We start from the raw sequence: 17,838 nt of genomic DNA, 5'->3' as shown, positions 1-17,838 counted from the left end.
ACAAATGAAGCTTCACTTGTTTGCCCGCTGCTTATCTCCTGCTGTGTGGTCGAGTTCTTAACAGGCCACAGACCAGTACCGGTCTGTGGCCTAGGCACTGGGACTTGTATACAATTGTACACTGCTGCTTCTACCAGCAGTGTAAAAGTGTTTCCTTTTCACCACATCCATGCTAAAATCTATTTTTTTTTATTTTTAAATGATGGCCATTCTTGCAGGAGTAAGGTGGTATAGCATTGTGGTTTTAATTTGCATTTCTCTGGTAATTAGTGATGCTGAACATTTTTCATATGTTCGTTGGCCATTTGTATATCTTCTTTTGAGAACCCTCTATTCATGTCCTTAGTCCACTCTTTGATAGAATTGTTCCTTTTTTTCTTGCTGATTTGTTTGAGTTCCTTGTAGATTCTGGATATTAGTCCTTTGTTAGATGCATAGTTTGCAAATATTTTCTCCCACTCTATGGATTGTCTGTTTACTCTGCTGATTATTTCTTTTGCTGTGTAGAAGATTTTTAGTTTAATTAAGTCTCATCTATTTATTTTTGCTTTTTTTGCATTTGCTTTTGGGTTCTTGACCATGAACTCTTTGCCTAAGCCAATGTCTAGAAGAGTTTTTCTGATGTTATCTTCTAGAATTTTTATGGTTTCAGGTCTTAGATTTAAGTATTTAATCCATCTTGAGTTGATTTTTGTGTAAGGTGAGAGATGAGGATCCAGTTTCATTCTTCTACATGTGGCTTGCTAGTTATTCCCGCACCATTTGTTGAATAGGGTGTCCTTTTCCCACTTTATGTTTTCATTTGCTTTGTCAAAGATCAGTTGGCTTTAAGTATTTGGCTTTATTTCTGGGTTCTCTATTATCTTCCATTGGTCTACATGCCTATTTTTATACCAGTACCATGCTGTTTGGGTAACTATAGCCTTGTACTATATTTGAATTTGGGGAATGTGATGCCTCCAGATTTGTTCTTGCTTTGGCTATGTGGGTTCTTGTTTGGCTCCATATGAATTGTAGGATTGTTTTTTCTATCCCTGTGAAGAATGGTGATAGTATTTTGATGGAAATAGCATTGAATTTATAGATTGCATTTGGCAGTATGGTCATTTTCACAATATTGATTCTAGCCATCCATGAGCATGGGATATGTTTCCATTTGTTTGTGTCATCTGATTTCTTTCAGCAGTGTTTTTTAGTTTTCCTTGTGGAGATCTTTCCCTTCCTTGGTAAGGCATATTCCTAAGTATTTTTTATTCTTCGCAGCTATTGTAAAAGGGGTTGAGTTCTTGATTTGACTCCCAGCTTGGTCAATATTGGTGTATAGCAGTGCTACGGATTTGTGTACATTGATTTGTATCTTGAAACTTTACTGCATATTTATCAGATCTAGGAGCTTCTTGGATGAGTCTTTGGGGTTTTTTTGTTTGTTTTTTGTTTTTTAGTTTTTTTTTTTTTTTTTTTTTTTTTTTTTTTTGGAGATGGAGTTTCTCTCTTATTGCCCAAGCTGGAGTGCAATGGCACTATTTTGGCTCACTGCAACCTCTGTCTTCTGGGTTCGAGTGATTCTCCTGCCTCAGCCTCCCTAGCAGCTGGGATTACAGGCATGTGCCGCCATGCCTAGTTAATTTTGTATTTTTGGTAGAAACGAGGTTTCACCATGTCAGCCAGACTGGTCTCAAGCTCCTGACCTCAGGTGATCCACCCACCTTGGCCTCCTAAAGTGCTGGGATTACAGGTGTGAGCCACCATGCCTGGCCGTCTTTGGGACTTTCTAAGTATACCATCATATTGTTGGTGAACAGTGACAGTTTGACGTCATATTTACTCATTTGGATGCACTTTATTTCTTTCTCTTGTCTGATTGCTCTGGCTAGGACTTCCAGTACTGTGTTGAATAGAAGTGGTGAAACTGGGTATCCTTGTCTTGTTCCATTTCTCAGGGGGAATGTTTTCAATTTTTCTCCATTCAGTTTAATGTTGGCTGTAGGTTTGTCATAGATGGCTTTTATTACCCTGAGGTATGTGCCTTCTATGCTGATTTTGTTGAGTGTTTTAATCATAAAGGGATGCTGGATTTTCTCAAATGCTTTTACTGTGTCTCTTGGGATAATCATAAGAATTTTGTATTTAATTCAGTTTATGTGATGTCTCACATTTATTGACTTCGTGTGTGTTAAAGTATCCCTGCATCCCTGGTATGAAACCCACTTGATCATGATGTATTATCTTTTTGATATGCTGTTGGATTTGGCTAGCTAGTATTTTGTTGAAGATTATTGCATCTTGGTTCATCAGAGATATTGGTCTGTAGTTTTTTTTGTTGGTGGTATGTCCTTTCCTGGTTTTGGTAACAAGAAGATACTGGCTTCAGAGAATTATTTAGGGAAGATTCCCTCTTTCTCTATCTTTTGGAATAGTTTCTGTAGGATTGGTACCAATTCTTTGAATGTCTGATAGAATTCAGCTGTGAATCTATCCGGTTCTGGACATTTTTATGTTGGCAATTTTTTAATTACTGTTTCAATCTTGTCACTTGTTATTGGTCAGTTCAGAGTTTCTATTTCTTCCTGGTTTAATCTAGGAGGGTCGTATATTTCCAGGAATTTATCCATCTCCTGTAGGTTTTCTAGTTTGTGTGCATAAAGGTGTTTATAATAGCCTTGAATGATCTTTTGTATTTCTTTTGTATCAGTTGTAATATCTCCCATTTTGTTTCTAATTGAGTTTATTTGGATCTTCTCTTCTTTTTTTGGTTAATCTTGCTAATGGTCTATCAATTTTTTAAAATCTTTTCAAACAAACAGTTTTTGTTTCATTTATCTTTTGTATTTTTTTTGCTTCAGTTTCATTTAGTTCTGCACTGATCTTTGTTATTATTATTATTTTTCTTCTTCTGGAGTTGGGTTTGGTTTGTTCTTGTTTCTCTAGTTCCTTGAGGTCTAATTGTGAACATAGATAGTCTAATTGTGCTCTTGCAGATTTTTGTTTGTTTGTTTTGATACAGAGTCTCACTTTGTCACCAAGCTGGAGTGTAGTGGCATGATCTTGGTTCATTGCAACCTTTGCCTCCCGGGTTCGAGCAATTCTCATGCCTCAGCCTCTTAAGTAGCTGGGATTTCAGGCATGCACCACCATGCCTGGATAATTTTTGTATTTTTAGTAGAGATGGGGTTTCACCATGTTGGCCAGGCTAGTCTCAAACTCCTGGCCTCAAGTGATCTACCCACCTCAGCCTTCTAATGTGCTGCGTTTACAGGCATGAGCCACTGAGTCCAGCCTCTTTCAAACTTTTTGATGTAGGCATTTAATGCTACGTACTTTCCTCTTAGCACCACTTTTGCCATATCCCAGAGGTTTTGATAGGTCGTGTCACTATTATCTTTCAGTTCAAAGAATTTTTACATTTTCATCTTGATTTTATTGTTGACCCAAAGATAATTCAGGAGCAGATTATTTAATTTCCATGTATTCATATAGTTTTGAGGGTTCCTTTTGGAGTTAATTTCTGATTTTATTTCACTGTGGTCTGAGAGGATACTTGATATTATTTCAATTTTCTTAAATTTATTGAGACTTGTTTTGTGGTCTATCACATGGTCTGTCTTGAAGAATGTTCCATGTGCTGATGAAAAGAATGTATATTCTGCAGTTGTTGGGTAGAATGTTCTATAAATATCTGTTAAGTCCATTTGTTGTAGGATATAGTTTCAGTCCATTGTTTCTTTGTTGACCTTCTGTCTTGATGACCTGTTTAGTGCTGTCAGTGGGGTATTGAAGTCCCTCACTATTACTATGTTGACATCTATCTCATTTTTCAGGCCTAGTAGTAATTGTTTCATAAATTTGGGAGCTCCTGTGTTAGGTGCACCTATATTTAGGATTGTAATGTTTTCCTGTTGGCCTAATCCTTTTATCATTATGTAATGTTCCTCTTTGTCTTTTTTAAACTGTTGTTGCTTTAAAGTCTGTTTTGTCTGATATAAGAATAGCTACTCCTGCTGACTTTTGGTTTCCATTTTCACAGAATGTCTTTTTTTACCCCTTCACTTTAAGTTCTTGTGAGTCCTTATGTGCTAAGTGAGTCTCTTGAAGACAGAAGGTACTTGGTTGGCGGATTTTTTATCCATTCTGCCATTCTGTATCTTTTAAGTGGGCATTTAGGTCATTTACATTCACTATTAATATTGAGATGTGACGTACTATTCTATTCATCCCTCTAGTTATTGCCTAAATATCTTATTTTTTTTCATTGTGTTATTTTTTAATAGGGTCCGTGAGACTTACACTTTAAATAGGTTCTATTTTGATGTATTTCAAGTTTTTGTTTTAAGATTTAGAATAGCTCCTTTTAGCTATTCTCGTAGTGCTGGCTTAGTAGTGGCAAATTCTCTCAGCATCTGTTTGTCTGAAAAAAAGACTGTATTATCCTTCCTTTATGAAGCTTAGTTTTGCTGAATACAGAATTTTTGGCTGATAGTTATTTTGTTTGAGGAGGCTAAAAACAGGACTCCAATCCCTTCAGGCTTGTAAGGTTTCTGCTGAGAAATCTGTCATTAATCTGATAGGTTTTTCATTATAGGTTACCTGATACATTTGCCTCACAGCTCTTAAGATTGTTTCCTTCATCTTGAATTTAGATAACCTGATGACTATGAGCCTAGTTGATAATCTTTTTGCGATGAATTTTCCAGGTGTTCTTTGAGCTTCCTCTTCCTCCTCCCCTCCTCCTCCTCCTCTTCTTCCTCCTCCTCTTCCTCTTCCTCCTCCTCCTCCTCTTTCCTCCTCTTCCTCCTCCTCCTCTTCTTCATTTCTTTTTTAAGTGAAAGCAAGTTTATTAAGAGAGTAAAAGAATACAGAATGGCTACTCCATAGGCAGAGTAGCCTAAGTTTCTTGTGTTTGGATGCTAGAACTCTAGCAGGGCTGGAGAAATTTTCCTCAATTATTCCTTCAAATACGTTTTCCAAACTTTTAGATTTATCTTCTTCCTCATGAACACCAATTATTCTAGGTTTGGTCATTTAACATAATCCCAAATTTCTTGGAGGCTTTGTTTATTTTTTTATTCTTTTTTCTTTGTCTTTGTCAGATTGGGTTAATTTGAAAGCCCTGTCTTCATGCTCTGAAGTTTTTTCTTCCACTTGTTCTATTGTTGAAACTTTGCCGTCTATTTTGTATTTCTCTAAGTGTGTCTTCCATTTCTAAAAGTTGTGATTGTTTTTTTCTTTATGATATCAATTTCTCTGGAAAGTTTTTCATCCATACCCTGCATTTTTTTTTTAAATTTCTTCAAGTTGGGTTTAACTTTTCTCTGGTACCTCCTGGAGTAGCTTAATAATCAACCTTTTGAATTATTTATTTGGCAATTCAGAGATTTCTCCTTGGTTTGGATCCATTGCTAGGGAGCAGCTAGTGAGATCTTTTCGGGGTGTTATAGGACCTTGTTTTGTCATATTACTAGAATTACTTTTTTTTTGTTTCTTCTTGTTTGGGTAGACTATTTCAGTAGAAAGATCTGGAATTCAAGGACTTCTGTTCAGATCCTTTTGTCTCACAGGGTGATCCCTTGATGTGGTGCTCTCCTCCTTCCCCTAGGAATGGGGGCTTCTGGAGAGCTGGACTGCTGTGATTGCTATTGCTCTTCTGGGTCTAGCCACCCAGTGGGGTACCAGGCTCTGGGCTGGTACTGCAGAATGTCTGCAAAGAGTCCTGTGATGTGGTCTGTCTTCAGGTCTCCCAGCCATGGATACCAGCATCTGCTCTGGTGGAGGTGGCAGGAGAGTGAAGTAGACTGTGAAAGTCCTTGGCTGTAGTTTCGTTTAGTGTGCTGGTTTTCTTGAATGCTGATTATGCTAGAAGTGAAGTTGTCGCGTGGACAGACTCAGGACCTCTGCTTAGCCAGAATGTTGCAGGCGGAGGAATTCGCTGCTGTTTTCTACTTCCTTGATCAGGGTTATTTTGTCACAAGTTGCTGCAATGGCTTGATTTGTTTGGCTTCCAGCCAGGAGGCGGTTCTTTCAAGAGAGCACCAGCTGCATTATTAGAGGGGGGATATAAGCTTGCTTTAAGTTGGCCAGAATAAGTATTTGGGTTTCTCAGGCAGTGGGAGGGGCCATAAAGCTCCCAAGAGTTTATGTCTTTTGTGTTTGGCTACCAGGGTGGGTAGAGAAAAACCATCAGGTGAGGGCAGGGTTAGGTGGGTCTGAGCTCAGAATCTCCTTGGATGGGGCTTGCTGCAGCCACGATGGGGGATGGGGAGGTGGTTCTCAGGCCAATGGAGTTATGTTCCCAGGGGGATTACGGCTGCCTCTGCTGCATCATATAGGTCATCAGGGAAGTGGCGGAAAGCTGGCAGTGACAGGCCTCACCCAGCTTCCACACAGCCAGTGAGGCTAGTCTTCTTCCTGCTGTGCCTCACCAACAGTGTTTATATCCAGCATCCTGCATGCAGGACTCAGACCTCGCCCCAGGCTAAAAGCCTCTCCACTGAGAAAGTAAGCACGGCTTTCAGGCCTTGCCCCTTCCCACCTGCCCACACTATCAGCCATGTCTCCTGTGCTGGTACCTGCAGCAATTCCTGTTCACCCGTATATGCTGCTCACAAAAATTCATGCTTGGTTGAAATTACAAAGTTCAGTTGGAAGCTTCTTTCACCCTGCGACCCCCTGCCTAGTTTGGCTGGCTGTTTTGCCCAAGGACCCTCTCTGTGAGATAAAGTAAGGGATGGCCTCCCTGGGCTCAAACTGGGGACTGGGAGTGCCTACAGGACTCTTCCCACTGCTTCTTCTATAGGTTCCCCAGTGGGGATGTGTGTTCAAAGGCAAGATTCCCCCTCTCACACTTTGAAAACTCAGAGTTTTTCTGCTGTCTCACAGAGTTTGCATAGTGAGCTGCTTTTTCCAAAGGATCAGTGAACCCTTTCAGTCTTCCTGGCACGTTTGTGCTGTGGTTCCTGGAGAAGTTCATGGTGTGAGTTTTCACACGTTGTTCTGCATGTCCAAGTGGAAGCTGCACATTAGTCCTGTCTCCTATCCACCATTTTCTCTCTTCATCCTGTCATTGTACTTTTGACTTGCATTTCCCTGATGATTAATGACGTTAATCACTTTTTAATGTACATATTGGCTACTTACATGTATTATTTGTCTTTTCAAGTCCTTTGCCCATTTTAAAATCAGATTTTTTTTTTTGCTTTTGAGTTGTGGAGTTCCTTATATGTTCTGGATATTGACGACTTATCAGATATATGGTTTGCAAATATTTTCTTTCAGTCTGTAGGTTGCCTTTTTATTTTGTTGATTGTTTCCTTTGCTGTGAAGAAGATTTGTAGTTTGATGTCATTCTATTCATCTATATTTACTTTTGTTGCCTGTGCTTTTGGGGTCATATATAAGAAATCATTGCCAATATCTACGTAATGAAGAGTCCCTCTGTTTTTTTGTAGGAGTTTTTGAGTTTCCAGTCTTATGTTTAAGTCTTTCATACACTTTGAGTTGATTTTTGTGTATGGTATGAATGTCCATTTTTATTCTTTTGCATGTGGTGACTCAGTTTTCTCAATGCCATTTGTTGAGGTGACTATCCTTTCCCCATTGTGACTCTTTGCACTCTTGTCAGAGATTATTTAACCATACTTGAGTGGGTTTATTGCTAGCCTCACTATTTTGTTCCATTGATCTATATTGTCTGTGTATTTATGCCAGCACAATACTCTTTTCGTTTATATAAGTTTGTAATATATTTTGAACTCAGGAAGAGTGGTGCCTCCAGCTCTGCTCTTCTTTCTCAAGATTCTTTTTGCTGGCCAGGTGCAGTGGCTCACACCTGTAATCCCAGCACTTTGGGAGGCTGAGGTGGGCAGATCACAAGGTCAGGAGATTGAGGCCATCCTGGCCAGCATGGTGAAACCCTGTTTCTACTAAAAATATAAAAATTAGCCAGGCTTGGTGGCACGCACCTGTAGTCCCAGCTACTTGGGAGGCTGAGGCAGAAGATTTGCTTGAACCCGGGAGGTGGAGGTTGCAGTGAGCAGAGATCATGCCACTGCACTCCAGCCTGGGTGACAGAGTGAGACTCCGTCTCAAAAAAAAAAAAAAAAAAAAAAAAAAAAGTTTGTTTTTGCTATTTGAATCCTTTGTGGTTCTATATAAATTTTAGATTTCTTAATATTTATATAACAAATGCCACTGAAGTTTCGATAGAGTTTGCATTGACTCTGTAGATCACTTTCAGTAGTATGAACATTTTTAACATATTAAGTCTTCCAACTAAGGGACATGTAATATCTTTCCATTTGTGTCTTCTTTAATTCTTGTCACCAATGTTTTATAGTTTTCAGTGTACAAGATTTTTGCCTTGTTGGTTACGTTTATTCCTAAGCATTTTATTCTCTTTGATGCTATCATAAATGGAGTTGTGTTCTTAAATTTTTTGGATGGTTCATTGTTAGTATATAGAAATACCACTAATTTTTATATGCCAATATAGTTTTAACAGCTATTTCTTGAGTCCTGAGAGTTTTTTTATATATAAGATCATAACATTTGTAAACAGATAATTTTACTCCTTCTTTACTAATTTAGATGCTTTTTCTTTTTCTTGCCTAATTCCTTTGGCTAGGACTTCCAGTGCTATGTGGAATGGCTGTATTTACCCAAATGTGTATCCCCATTGTGTCTAGAAAGTAACTAGCTTGCTTTTGATTTTACAGGCTCATAGGTGGAAGGGACTTGCCTTGTCTCAGATGAGACTTTGAATTGTGGACTTTTGGGTTAATGCTGAAATGAGTTAAGACTTTGGGGGACTGTTGGGAAGGCATGGTTGGCTTTGAAATGTGGGGACATGAGATTTGGAGGGGCCAGGGATGAAATGATATGGTTTGGTTGTGTCCTCACCCAAATCTCATCTTGAATTGTGCTCCCATAATTCCCATGTGTTGTGGGAGGGATCCAGTGGGAGATAATTTGATTCATGGGGGTGGTTTCCTCCATACTGTTCTCATGGTAGTGAGTAAGTCTCATGAGATCTGATGGTTTTATCAGGAGTTTCTCCTTTTGCATCTTCTTCATTTTTCTCTTGCTGCCACCATGTAAAAAGTACCTTTTGCCTCCCACCATGATTCTGAGGCCCCCCCAGCCATTGGAAATGTAAGTCCAATTAAACCTCTTTTTCTTCATGGTCTTGGGTATGTCTTTATCAGCAGCGTGAAAATGGATTAATACATTTGTCTATTGGCAGAACATGCCAATCGAAGCAAAGTTGCTTAACTGGGATAAGTGATAAATTACAGATAGGTTGATAAATGATTAATGTAGCACTCAGGGCCTCCAGGATAGGCTTGAGAAGGCTGGAGATTCTGCGATGATTATATCTTTTACTCAGCAATTTTAATTTCATTCACTTGTCCTATTTTTCTGTTGAAATACAATCACTTTAGATATATGCCATGATATGAAAAAGAGTAGGAAACACAGATGCAAAAGATTATAATAATCATATTTTAATAAAGTAATTTTGAGCAGAGAAGAATAGAGCCAAAGGAAGATAGAGGAGTGTATTAAGGAAGCACAGTGTTTCCATATATGTTTTCTATTAGAGAATGAATAAGTAGCCATTAAGCACCTGCTACCAGACTTATCATTTCAGTTAATATATAATCATTATTTAATTTTTATTGCTTGTGATAAAATTATTGCTATTAATATTTTTCAGTTGAGGAACCTGGAGCTCATAGAGTTAAAAACAACTTGGCCAGAATCATGAGTTTGCAAATGTGGAGACTGGGAATTGAATCAAGTTGTTGGACTGGAAAGCTCAGTCATGGGATCCAGGAGCAGTTGATAATATGGAGAGCATACAGGCAAATTGACTGCCAATGTCAATGCAATCTGCATCTAGGAAGCTAGAGCCCATCACTGGGCTGGATTTAGTATGAATTTTTGAGGTTTTAGTAGGCAAGGGTAGAAACTGGCATGAATGAAACCATGTCATCAATTCTAGAGAGGCTGGGCAAGAGCTATTATCGGAACCTCAGTTTAGGATCAAAATCAGAATTGCTACTGAAGGAAGTGTTATTAATCCTGCAGTGTTAGGTTAAAAGTTGCCTGGGGAACTGGAAGAAGCCTAGGAGTTAGGAGTCTTATGAGTTCTTAACTGTGAGGGAGGATAAAAGAGCCTAGAAATAATTCCTCATCTAACACAGGGGATCTGCGACTACATTAAGATTCATTCTATAGTTTTATCCACACTTCATCATCCTGATCTTTGGGAGGGCATTTGCTGGCTTCTGTGAACTTTGTATTCCTATGAGGCTCAACTTTGTAATGGTTAACTATGGGCATTTTCAAAACTACATTTCAATTAGTTAAAATATGGTTATGACCTGCACGCATAATCTAGCAGTAGTTTTTAAACCTGAAAACACACGAGAGTAACCTAGGGAGTATGTTAAATTCATAATTTTGGGGCATAGCTGATCAAATAAATAAGAATGTCTGGTATGATAGGAACCTGAAATCTATATTTTTAATGGATTCCTCTAAAGAGACAATGCTATCACAAAAATGAGAGTAGCTATTCCAATGTTATTAAAAGTTATAAATTCATCAGTATTATTTTGCTCTGTGACCATATACTTTCTAGTTTTTAAGTTGGCTAAAATTTATCAATGTCACTCCTTTTTCCTTTTCTCAATTCTTTCTATTATTCTCTTTACAATCAGACTAAAGCACACTTCATCAAGCAGAAATAAATGTTCTATTCAGAAAAGGTTACAAAAACTGAGATATAAAAAGGAGGAAAATATGAACTGTCTTTTAGGACTTGTGGCCATTTTCTTTAGCCAGCAACTTTAAATTACTGATCCAAGAATACCAGGTTCAATACACTTTTTCTTGGTAAGGACAGTCCCTTTCCAAAACTCTAGTATCATGGTGTTGTCTTGTTTTTTTTGTTTGTTTTTTTTTTTTAACATTAGGTGAATTCTTAAAACTTCCCAGATATTAAGCTCCCAGATGTTAAACTGGGCATTGTACAAATGCCAGTCAACCTTCTACTGCTATCTTCAATTAGAGAGCAGTCGTGTGCTTGTCCTTGGTTTGATTATCAGCCAATGTTTTCAAACAATTTTATGTCTATTGAGCTTTTATAGACTATACTAGATAATTTACATTTTTATTTAAAAAACTATTATATATTATTTTATCATTTGAAGTTTAAATATAGGGGCTGAGACCTAGAAAAGTAATTTGCCCAAGATACACAGAGCGCCAAAGTGCTGAACTAAGAATTTGAACTTAGGCAGTTTCCCTCCTAAGCTTGCTGGCTCAACCATTGTACTATAGACTCAATACTCTGGGGAAACTCCAAAGTAATAACTAAAAATCATGTGACACAATTGCATTCTTAACAACAACAAAAAAGTAAAAATAAGACTATCTAAAAATTATTACACCAGAAAGAATTATATAGGCAATTTACACTGACTTCTTAATTTAAAGATGAGAAAGCTGAAATCAAAAGACAGTATAACAAATTGCAAAGTCATACTGTTAGTAAGAGATTAGATAAACCAACTCTCCTGATTTCCAATTTAGTGTATGGCTGTTTTAACCAGGAAACCTAGATATGTACAAGGGTATTTGAGATTCCACGGGGATAAACTGGATGTAGTAGGGAGGAATTTTTGGACATACAAGTGAAGTTTTATCTACATTTTAATAAAGACAACAAGTGTTTAAGGCCGATCTGTTGTTTAAAGCTAATATATTGAAAAACAAAGCCTGTATTGGCTCCAAAAAGGTAGGAAGCCTTTCAGTTTTCTTTTGGGTTGCTAAGAGCCAGAAAGAACATCACTCTCACCCTTACAGCAGTGACACAGAGCCAGACAAACTACAAATTAATGACTTTTTGAACCCATCAGAAAGGTGAGGTCACATGGCAACTAACCAATCTGAAATGTAAGAAGAAAAAAATACCTGCAGAGAGAGAGGGATGTGAGCATTTGTTTACCTGGGGGAAATGCAATCAAGTACCAATAAGAATTTAGATAAGGAATTCAGTTAAGGAGTTGGCAGAAGCCAAGTGTGAGCTGATGAGAGTGTGGAGTCTCTAGGGTCATAGATATAAAGGGAGTAACATTCTCTTTCAGGTTCTTTTCCAGGGACATTACAGGCTTACAGACACACACACACACACACACACACACACACACACACACACACAAACATGATTAGTGAGAATCCAAGAAAGCATACTTAATAGGGCAGGCCTAAGGGAAAGGAATAGTAAGCCCTGCAGGCAAGGCATGAAGGCCTGCATGGGCTTATCTCCCCTGTGTAACAAAAGTCTTAAATGCAGGCAGAGGGACAACAAGCACTGCTGCACTTATCACACTGGGAAAAACCATTCTACCTGTCTGTGGGGAACAGAAGAAAAGTCTCTAGCCTTCGAGGAAGGGCAGGAACATGTGTGGAGCTCATAACCATAGCTGGTGGGTGGGTCAGGAGCACTAAGAAGGCCACTCCTAAAGATCCAGGGATATAGAACCTACACAAGACCAAGGCTTCACCAGAATAACAGAGGCTGCCTCCCTCTCACCAGGCTTACAAGCACTGAGTAACTTCTAACAGTGCAATAATGTTGGGAGAGTTGCAAGAGTTCAGAGACAAAGAAAGAGAGACCCTCTCTGAGGCACAACAGGAAGGGAAGACCTCAAGCTAAAGATTAAGCACATAGTGAGAGAAACTGCAAATCTGTCTCCACCCTAAACACAAGTTATCTCTGGAAGAATCTGAATGCTATGGTATACACTGATTGCCAGCACAGCAACAAGAACCGAACCCAACTCAACACTTTCCTAGATTGGTTCACCTCCCCAAAATAAAGATCTAATGTAAGGACAGGTATGCCCATGTGCAAATGCAGAAACTGTTTGCCTCAGTTTCTATTCCTACATAGGTATACAACTTTCAACAAAAAATTATAAGGCATACAAAGAAGCAAGAAAAAGCAACAAACTACCAAGAGAAAAGCAATCAATAGAGCCAAATTCAGATATGACAGAGAAGACAGAACTATCAGAAAGATAATTTAAAACAACTATAACTAATATGTTGATGTTTCTAAAGAAAAAACTGACAACATACAAAAAACAGACAGCTAAGGCAATTTCAGCAGAGAGAGGAACGCTATAACATGGAATAGCATGAAAATGTTAGAAATAAAAAGCACAGTAACAGAGATGAAGAAGAACATTCAAAGGCTCATTAGAAGACTTCACAAACTGAAGAAAGGGTTAGTCAACTTGAACATAGGTCAATAGACATTACCCCAACTGCAGCACAAAGATATCCGAACTATGTGTCTTATTTATTGTTAATGAGAAGGCAAAATGCTACAATCATTTTGGGAAACAGTTTGGTTCTTTTTTATAGGATTAAGTATATACTTACTATATGATCCAGATGCCACTCTGAGTAATTACTCAAGAGAAATAAAAATGTATGCTCACAAAAAAACCTGTAGGTAAATATCTCTAACAGCTTTGTGCATAATTGTTAAAAACTGGAAAAAAAAACTTGAATAGTAAATAAATAAACTATGGTACATCTAGACAATGAAATACTATTCAGCCATAAAAAGGAACAGACTTGATATGTATAAGCGACATTGTTAAATCTCAAAAGGATTTGCTAAGTGAAAGAAGCTAAATCCCCAAATTACATATTATAGAATTTCATTTATATGACATTCTAAAAAAGCAAAACTATAGAGCTGTAGAACTCATGGGTGGGTGACAGGGGTTAGGAATGGAAGGAGAAGATTACTAGAAAGGAGGAGCATAAGCAAATTTTGAGGGATGATGGAACTGTTCTCAATGACAATTTTGATGATGGATATATGACTTGATGTGTTTGTCACAATGCTTAGAACTCAACACCACAAAAAGTAAATTTTACCGTGCATATGTTTAAAAATACATTTAAGTAAAGATGTGTTGTTGTACACAGAGTTTGGAAATGGAGAGTTTTTAGAGCTGGGCACATTTAGCAAACCTATTTTAAATTCAATTCAGTTCAAATTTGTTTTTACTCCTTCAAATGTCTGAATGATTCCAGGGTGAAATCGCACACTGTACTTTCTCAGATGGTCCTCTCTTACAGAGAACACTAAATTAGAACTTGAATGAGCTCCTCTGCTGTTCTGTGTCCCAGCCTGATTCAAAATAACATGCACTATAATATTTACTAATTGAAGAGTTAATTGTTTGTTTCTTAACTACTTAACATTTTGGTTAACTTAATCCTTTTCTTCTTCCTCCCAAATACCCTTTGTCACTCTCTCCCCATGATCTTATCAGGCATCAGATTGTTCATCCACTAAAGAATGCTGGTGAGTGTGCTAAAGAACGGCGAGGTGTGCTGGAGGCATGCGGTCCTTACCTAAGTAGATTCGAAGTGACTACCCCCTTCCACTAAATAATTTCATAATTACATGCCTTAGCTATTCAATTTACATTGCTGTGGTATCCAAAAGAATAATGATGGCAATTTACAATTACAATCAGCTTTATTTGCATTTCTAAAGCTTTGATATACTTCCTCAATTATTTAAATAATGTACATACACAAAAAGAATGAATAAACTATGGGAATTGTAAGCACTGTTGAAGCTACTTTTTTTTTTTTAACAAGTATTCATTTTAGGATTCATTACTTATAAATAGAATTACCCTGCTGTCATTGATTAATAACCTTAAAATACTCTTAGTCACTAACTTAAGTTCACCAATGTAGAGATATTAACGTATAATTTCAATTTAAGGTGTGTAGAAGGTAAACAGCAAGAACTGGAGGTGAGGTCATCCCTTTTATTCCCCCAATGTATAATATATTAATATTAACAGTAAACTTGAGAGGGTCTCTCTAGCTACTATTTAAAGTCAAAGGAAATCATAGAAGTAAACTACAAAAAGGGATTCTAAATATACCAATGAATTTCTTACTGTTTGAAGCATAATACAGTTTTCTTTTTAATACAGAATCTGGGATTTAATCTTTAGAATCAACATGCATTTTTAAAAAATGAGACAATTTTTAGATGATTAAGGTAAAATTTATATTTGCTAAATTCGTCTTCATAGTGTATCAGGTCATCTCAGCACCAAAGCTTGTATTCTCAAGACTAAGGACTCACTCTTTGTATGAAGCCCCACCTTAGTTTCCTGCCCAGTGTCTCCTCTTCTGATGTCAGAGTTCTTCTAAATCTTTTAGGCCTGAGCCTAAATCTGTTTCTGTGACTGATCTCTGTTTCCCAGTCTCTCCTGCAATATTCTATGGCCATTAAAAGTAAAGTAAATATGGCAACAGAAAAACTGATCTCATTTTACAAAGAATTTTTTAAAAAATTTTAATGCTAGAATGAGAAGTTTCCCTGAGTTAATTGGCAGTGGAAACGTATTACTTTTTTTTTTTTTAAGTAGGAGAAAATATGAAGCCCTGTGAAGACTGGATTTAGAGGGAGAAACAAGACAGTATGACTGGTCAGATGGTTGCTGGATGGTTTAGGAGGAAGGTAATGAAGACCTTAACCAGGGTGGTTGCAGTGGGAAGGGAAGAAAATAGACAGAAAAAGTGTTATATAAACAGAATCTATAGAATTCTAGCAAAGAATTCTTTAAGGAGAGTGATGAATAAGGAGAAACCATGAATGGAAGTGTCAGTAACAATGGAGGGAAGAGTGGATGTGGTTGGAGCTGTCAGGAAGCATGGACAGGCTTTGTGTTTAGAGAGACTGAGTTTGAAATCTGTCTCTGGTACTTAATTCCATGTAACAAAAAAGCGTCTGAATTTCTTTTTGCCTTAATCTGTACATCTGTTTACTCTAAAAATGCCTACCTTCAAAGGGTTCTTATGGGATTGAGTAAGCTACTGCATGAAAAGCACCTGCCACACAGTGATTTCTAGACCAATAAATGGAAGTTATTATTATTATTGCGATTATTATGACTACCATAAAGAAATGAGTGCCATGCTAATTATTAACCAGTAATTGGCAATTGTCTGCACTCGAATGGATATCGTGCAGCATTTACATGAGGCATTGCCGCAAGACCTAAGGAGCTGACCTAACCGAGTGTCTAGCTGTCCCTTCGAGGAAGATTGTCATCAGAGTGCTCTGTCTATGAGGACAGACTTTCAAGAGGTTTACTCAATTAATCTGACATGCTTGTGATTTGAGGTAATTAGGAAAGAATTTATAAAATGAAAAAGGAGATGAAAGAAGACAGGCTGAGGAATCTAAGTGGGAGGTGTCTGTAGAGGAGTCAAGGAAGGCACGTTAATGAGAGGCTTCATGCAGGTAGAAGGAGGGGATTGAGGGTTGGGCAGAGAGATCCCAGGGAGCCTGAGCCAGTGCAGGAGTCAGGGTGTGGTGTGTGAGCTGTTAGCTGCAGAGTTGCAGTCACCATAAAAAGAGGGAGGTGCCTGGGAAGGGCCCGCAGCAGGAGGGTGGAGATGTGGGAGGGGCAGGATTGGGACGCAACAAATGGGAAATTGCTGGGCCTAGTCGGGCAGGGCTCACCCAATAAATCATTCACAGTAGCTGGAACTGGCTTGAGTGTTTTCTTTATATTGTGGCTCTATTAAAAGGGCACTGCTTCCTTTTTGTGTGGGCTTTAGTCACTGCATTACTCACCGAGACCGCTGGACGGCTTCAGGCCACTTGAGGAGCGAGTGACACCGGAGCAGTTGACTGTGTTTCGCTTGAGCAAGCACAAGCAAGGTTGCTCATCTCTGGAACACAGAAGATGGTATCGGAAATGGGACATACATAATATCAGGGTGGGACAGAATTATTACTTGAATTAATTATATTGCGAATATGTGTTGCTCATGTAATCATGTGCATGATACATATATAAGTATGTAGCTTTTTCTGATAAAAGTATGTTTTTATTAGGCATTTTAAATTAAAACCTATTGCAGTCTGTAGTTGGTGTGCCAAAAAGAGAAAGGAAGGGGGAAAAGGCATTAGAGCAAAAAGCTTGCATGGCGTTGGTCTGAGCTAGAACTGGGTTCAAATCTTGGCTAAGTGGCAAAGCTGTGGGGCTTCAGGGAAGTTACTTAACCTATTTAGGCCTTATTTTCCTCACCTGTAGGAAGTGAAAAGTAATACCTATCAAAGGGGGTGTTATAAGGATTAAACGAAATACGTAACATAGCCAGCACACAGTAGATACTTCCTACAGGAGAGCTGTTATTGCTTTTTAGGTTTTACGTGAGGTGCTTTCTCTTGTGCAGTTACCTCCCATATCTTTTCAAAGTCATAGAGGCGGAAGTATAATTCCAGTTTCACAGACAGAGGAAATGAGGCAACAGTGGTTATGTTATTTGCTGGGATCATACAGTTTATAGCTAGCAGAACTAACATTAAAGTCTTTTGACTTCCAAGCCCAGCCTTTCCACTTGTGCAAAGGCACAATGAGGTAGTAATCAAGGCCACCATTCAGCATTTCTTCAGTCTACTGCTTTGTTTTATAAAGCAATGTGTAAAAAGCACCACGTATTCTACCTTTATGAAATGGTGTGATGGAGGCTGGATTGAAGGCTTTCCTTTTGGCTTGAGAAACTTTTTTTGAATATTAGAGTAATTTTTTTAAATGTATTTTAATATTTATTTATTTGTTTGTTTTTAGATAGGGTGTCACTATGTTGTCTAGGCTGGTCTTGAACTCCTGGGCTCGAGCCATTCTCCAGCCTCAGACTTCTGAGCAGCTGTGATTACAGGCACGTGCCATTGTACCTGGTGAGACATGTTTTATAGTTCCTCTTAACCCTATA

At 38.1% G+C, this 17,838-nt stretch overlaps 2 annotated features.

The window, feature by feature from the left end:
* Positions 16,310–17,509: an enhancer, noted in NCBI's record as "CDK7 strongly-dependent group 2 enhancer chr18:28786090-28787289 (GRCh37/hg19 assembly coordinates)". NCBI's record gives its function as "activates an origin of replication core promoter dependent on BRD2, BRD4, P300/CBP, MED14 and CDK7 cofactors, with strong dependence on CDK7, by STARR-seq in HCT116 cells {active_cell/tissue: HCT116}" and the evidence as "EXISTENCE:reporter gene assay evidence [ECO:0000049][PMID:35650434]".
* Positions 16,787–16,836: a silencer, noted in NCBI's record as "silent region_9382". NCBI's record gives its function as "represses an Ori minimal core promoter by ATAC-STARR-seq in GM12878 lymphoblastoid cells {active_cell/tissue: GM12878}" and the evidence as "EXISTENCE:reporter gene assay evidence [ECO:0000049][PMID:35858748]".

The sequence above is a fragment of the Homo sapiens genome, chromosome 18 (assembly GCF_000001405.40).
Source record: "Homo sapiens chromosome 18, GRCh38.p14 Primary Assembly".
NCBI classification, from domain to species: Eukaryota; Metazoa; Chordata; class Mammalia; order Primates; family Hominidae; genus Homo; species Homo sapiens.
This window is presented reverse-complemented; position numbering and strand designations above follow the sequence as displayed.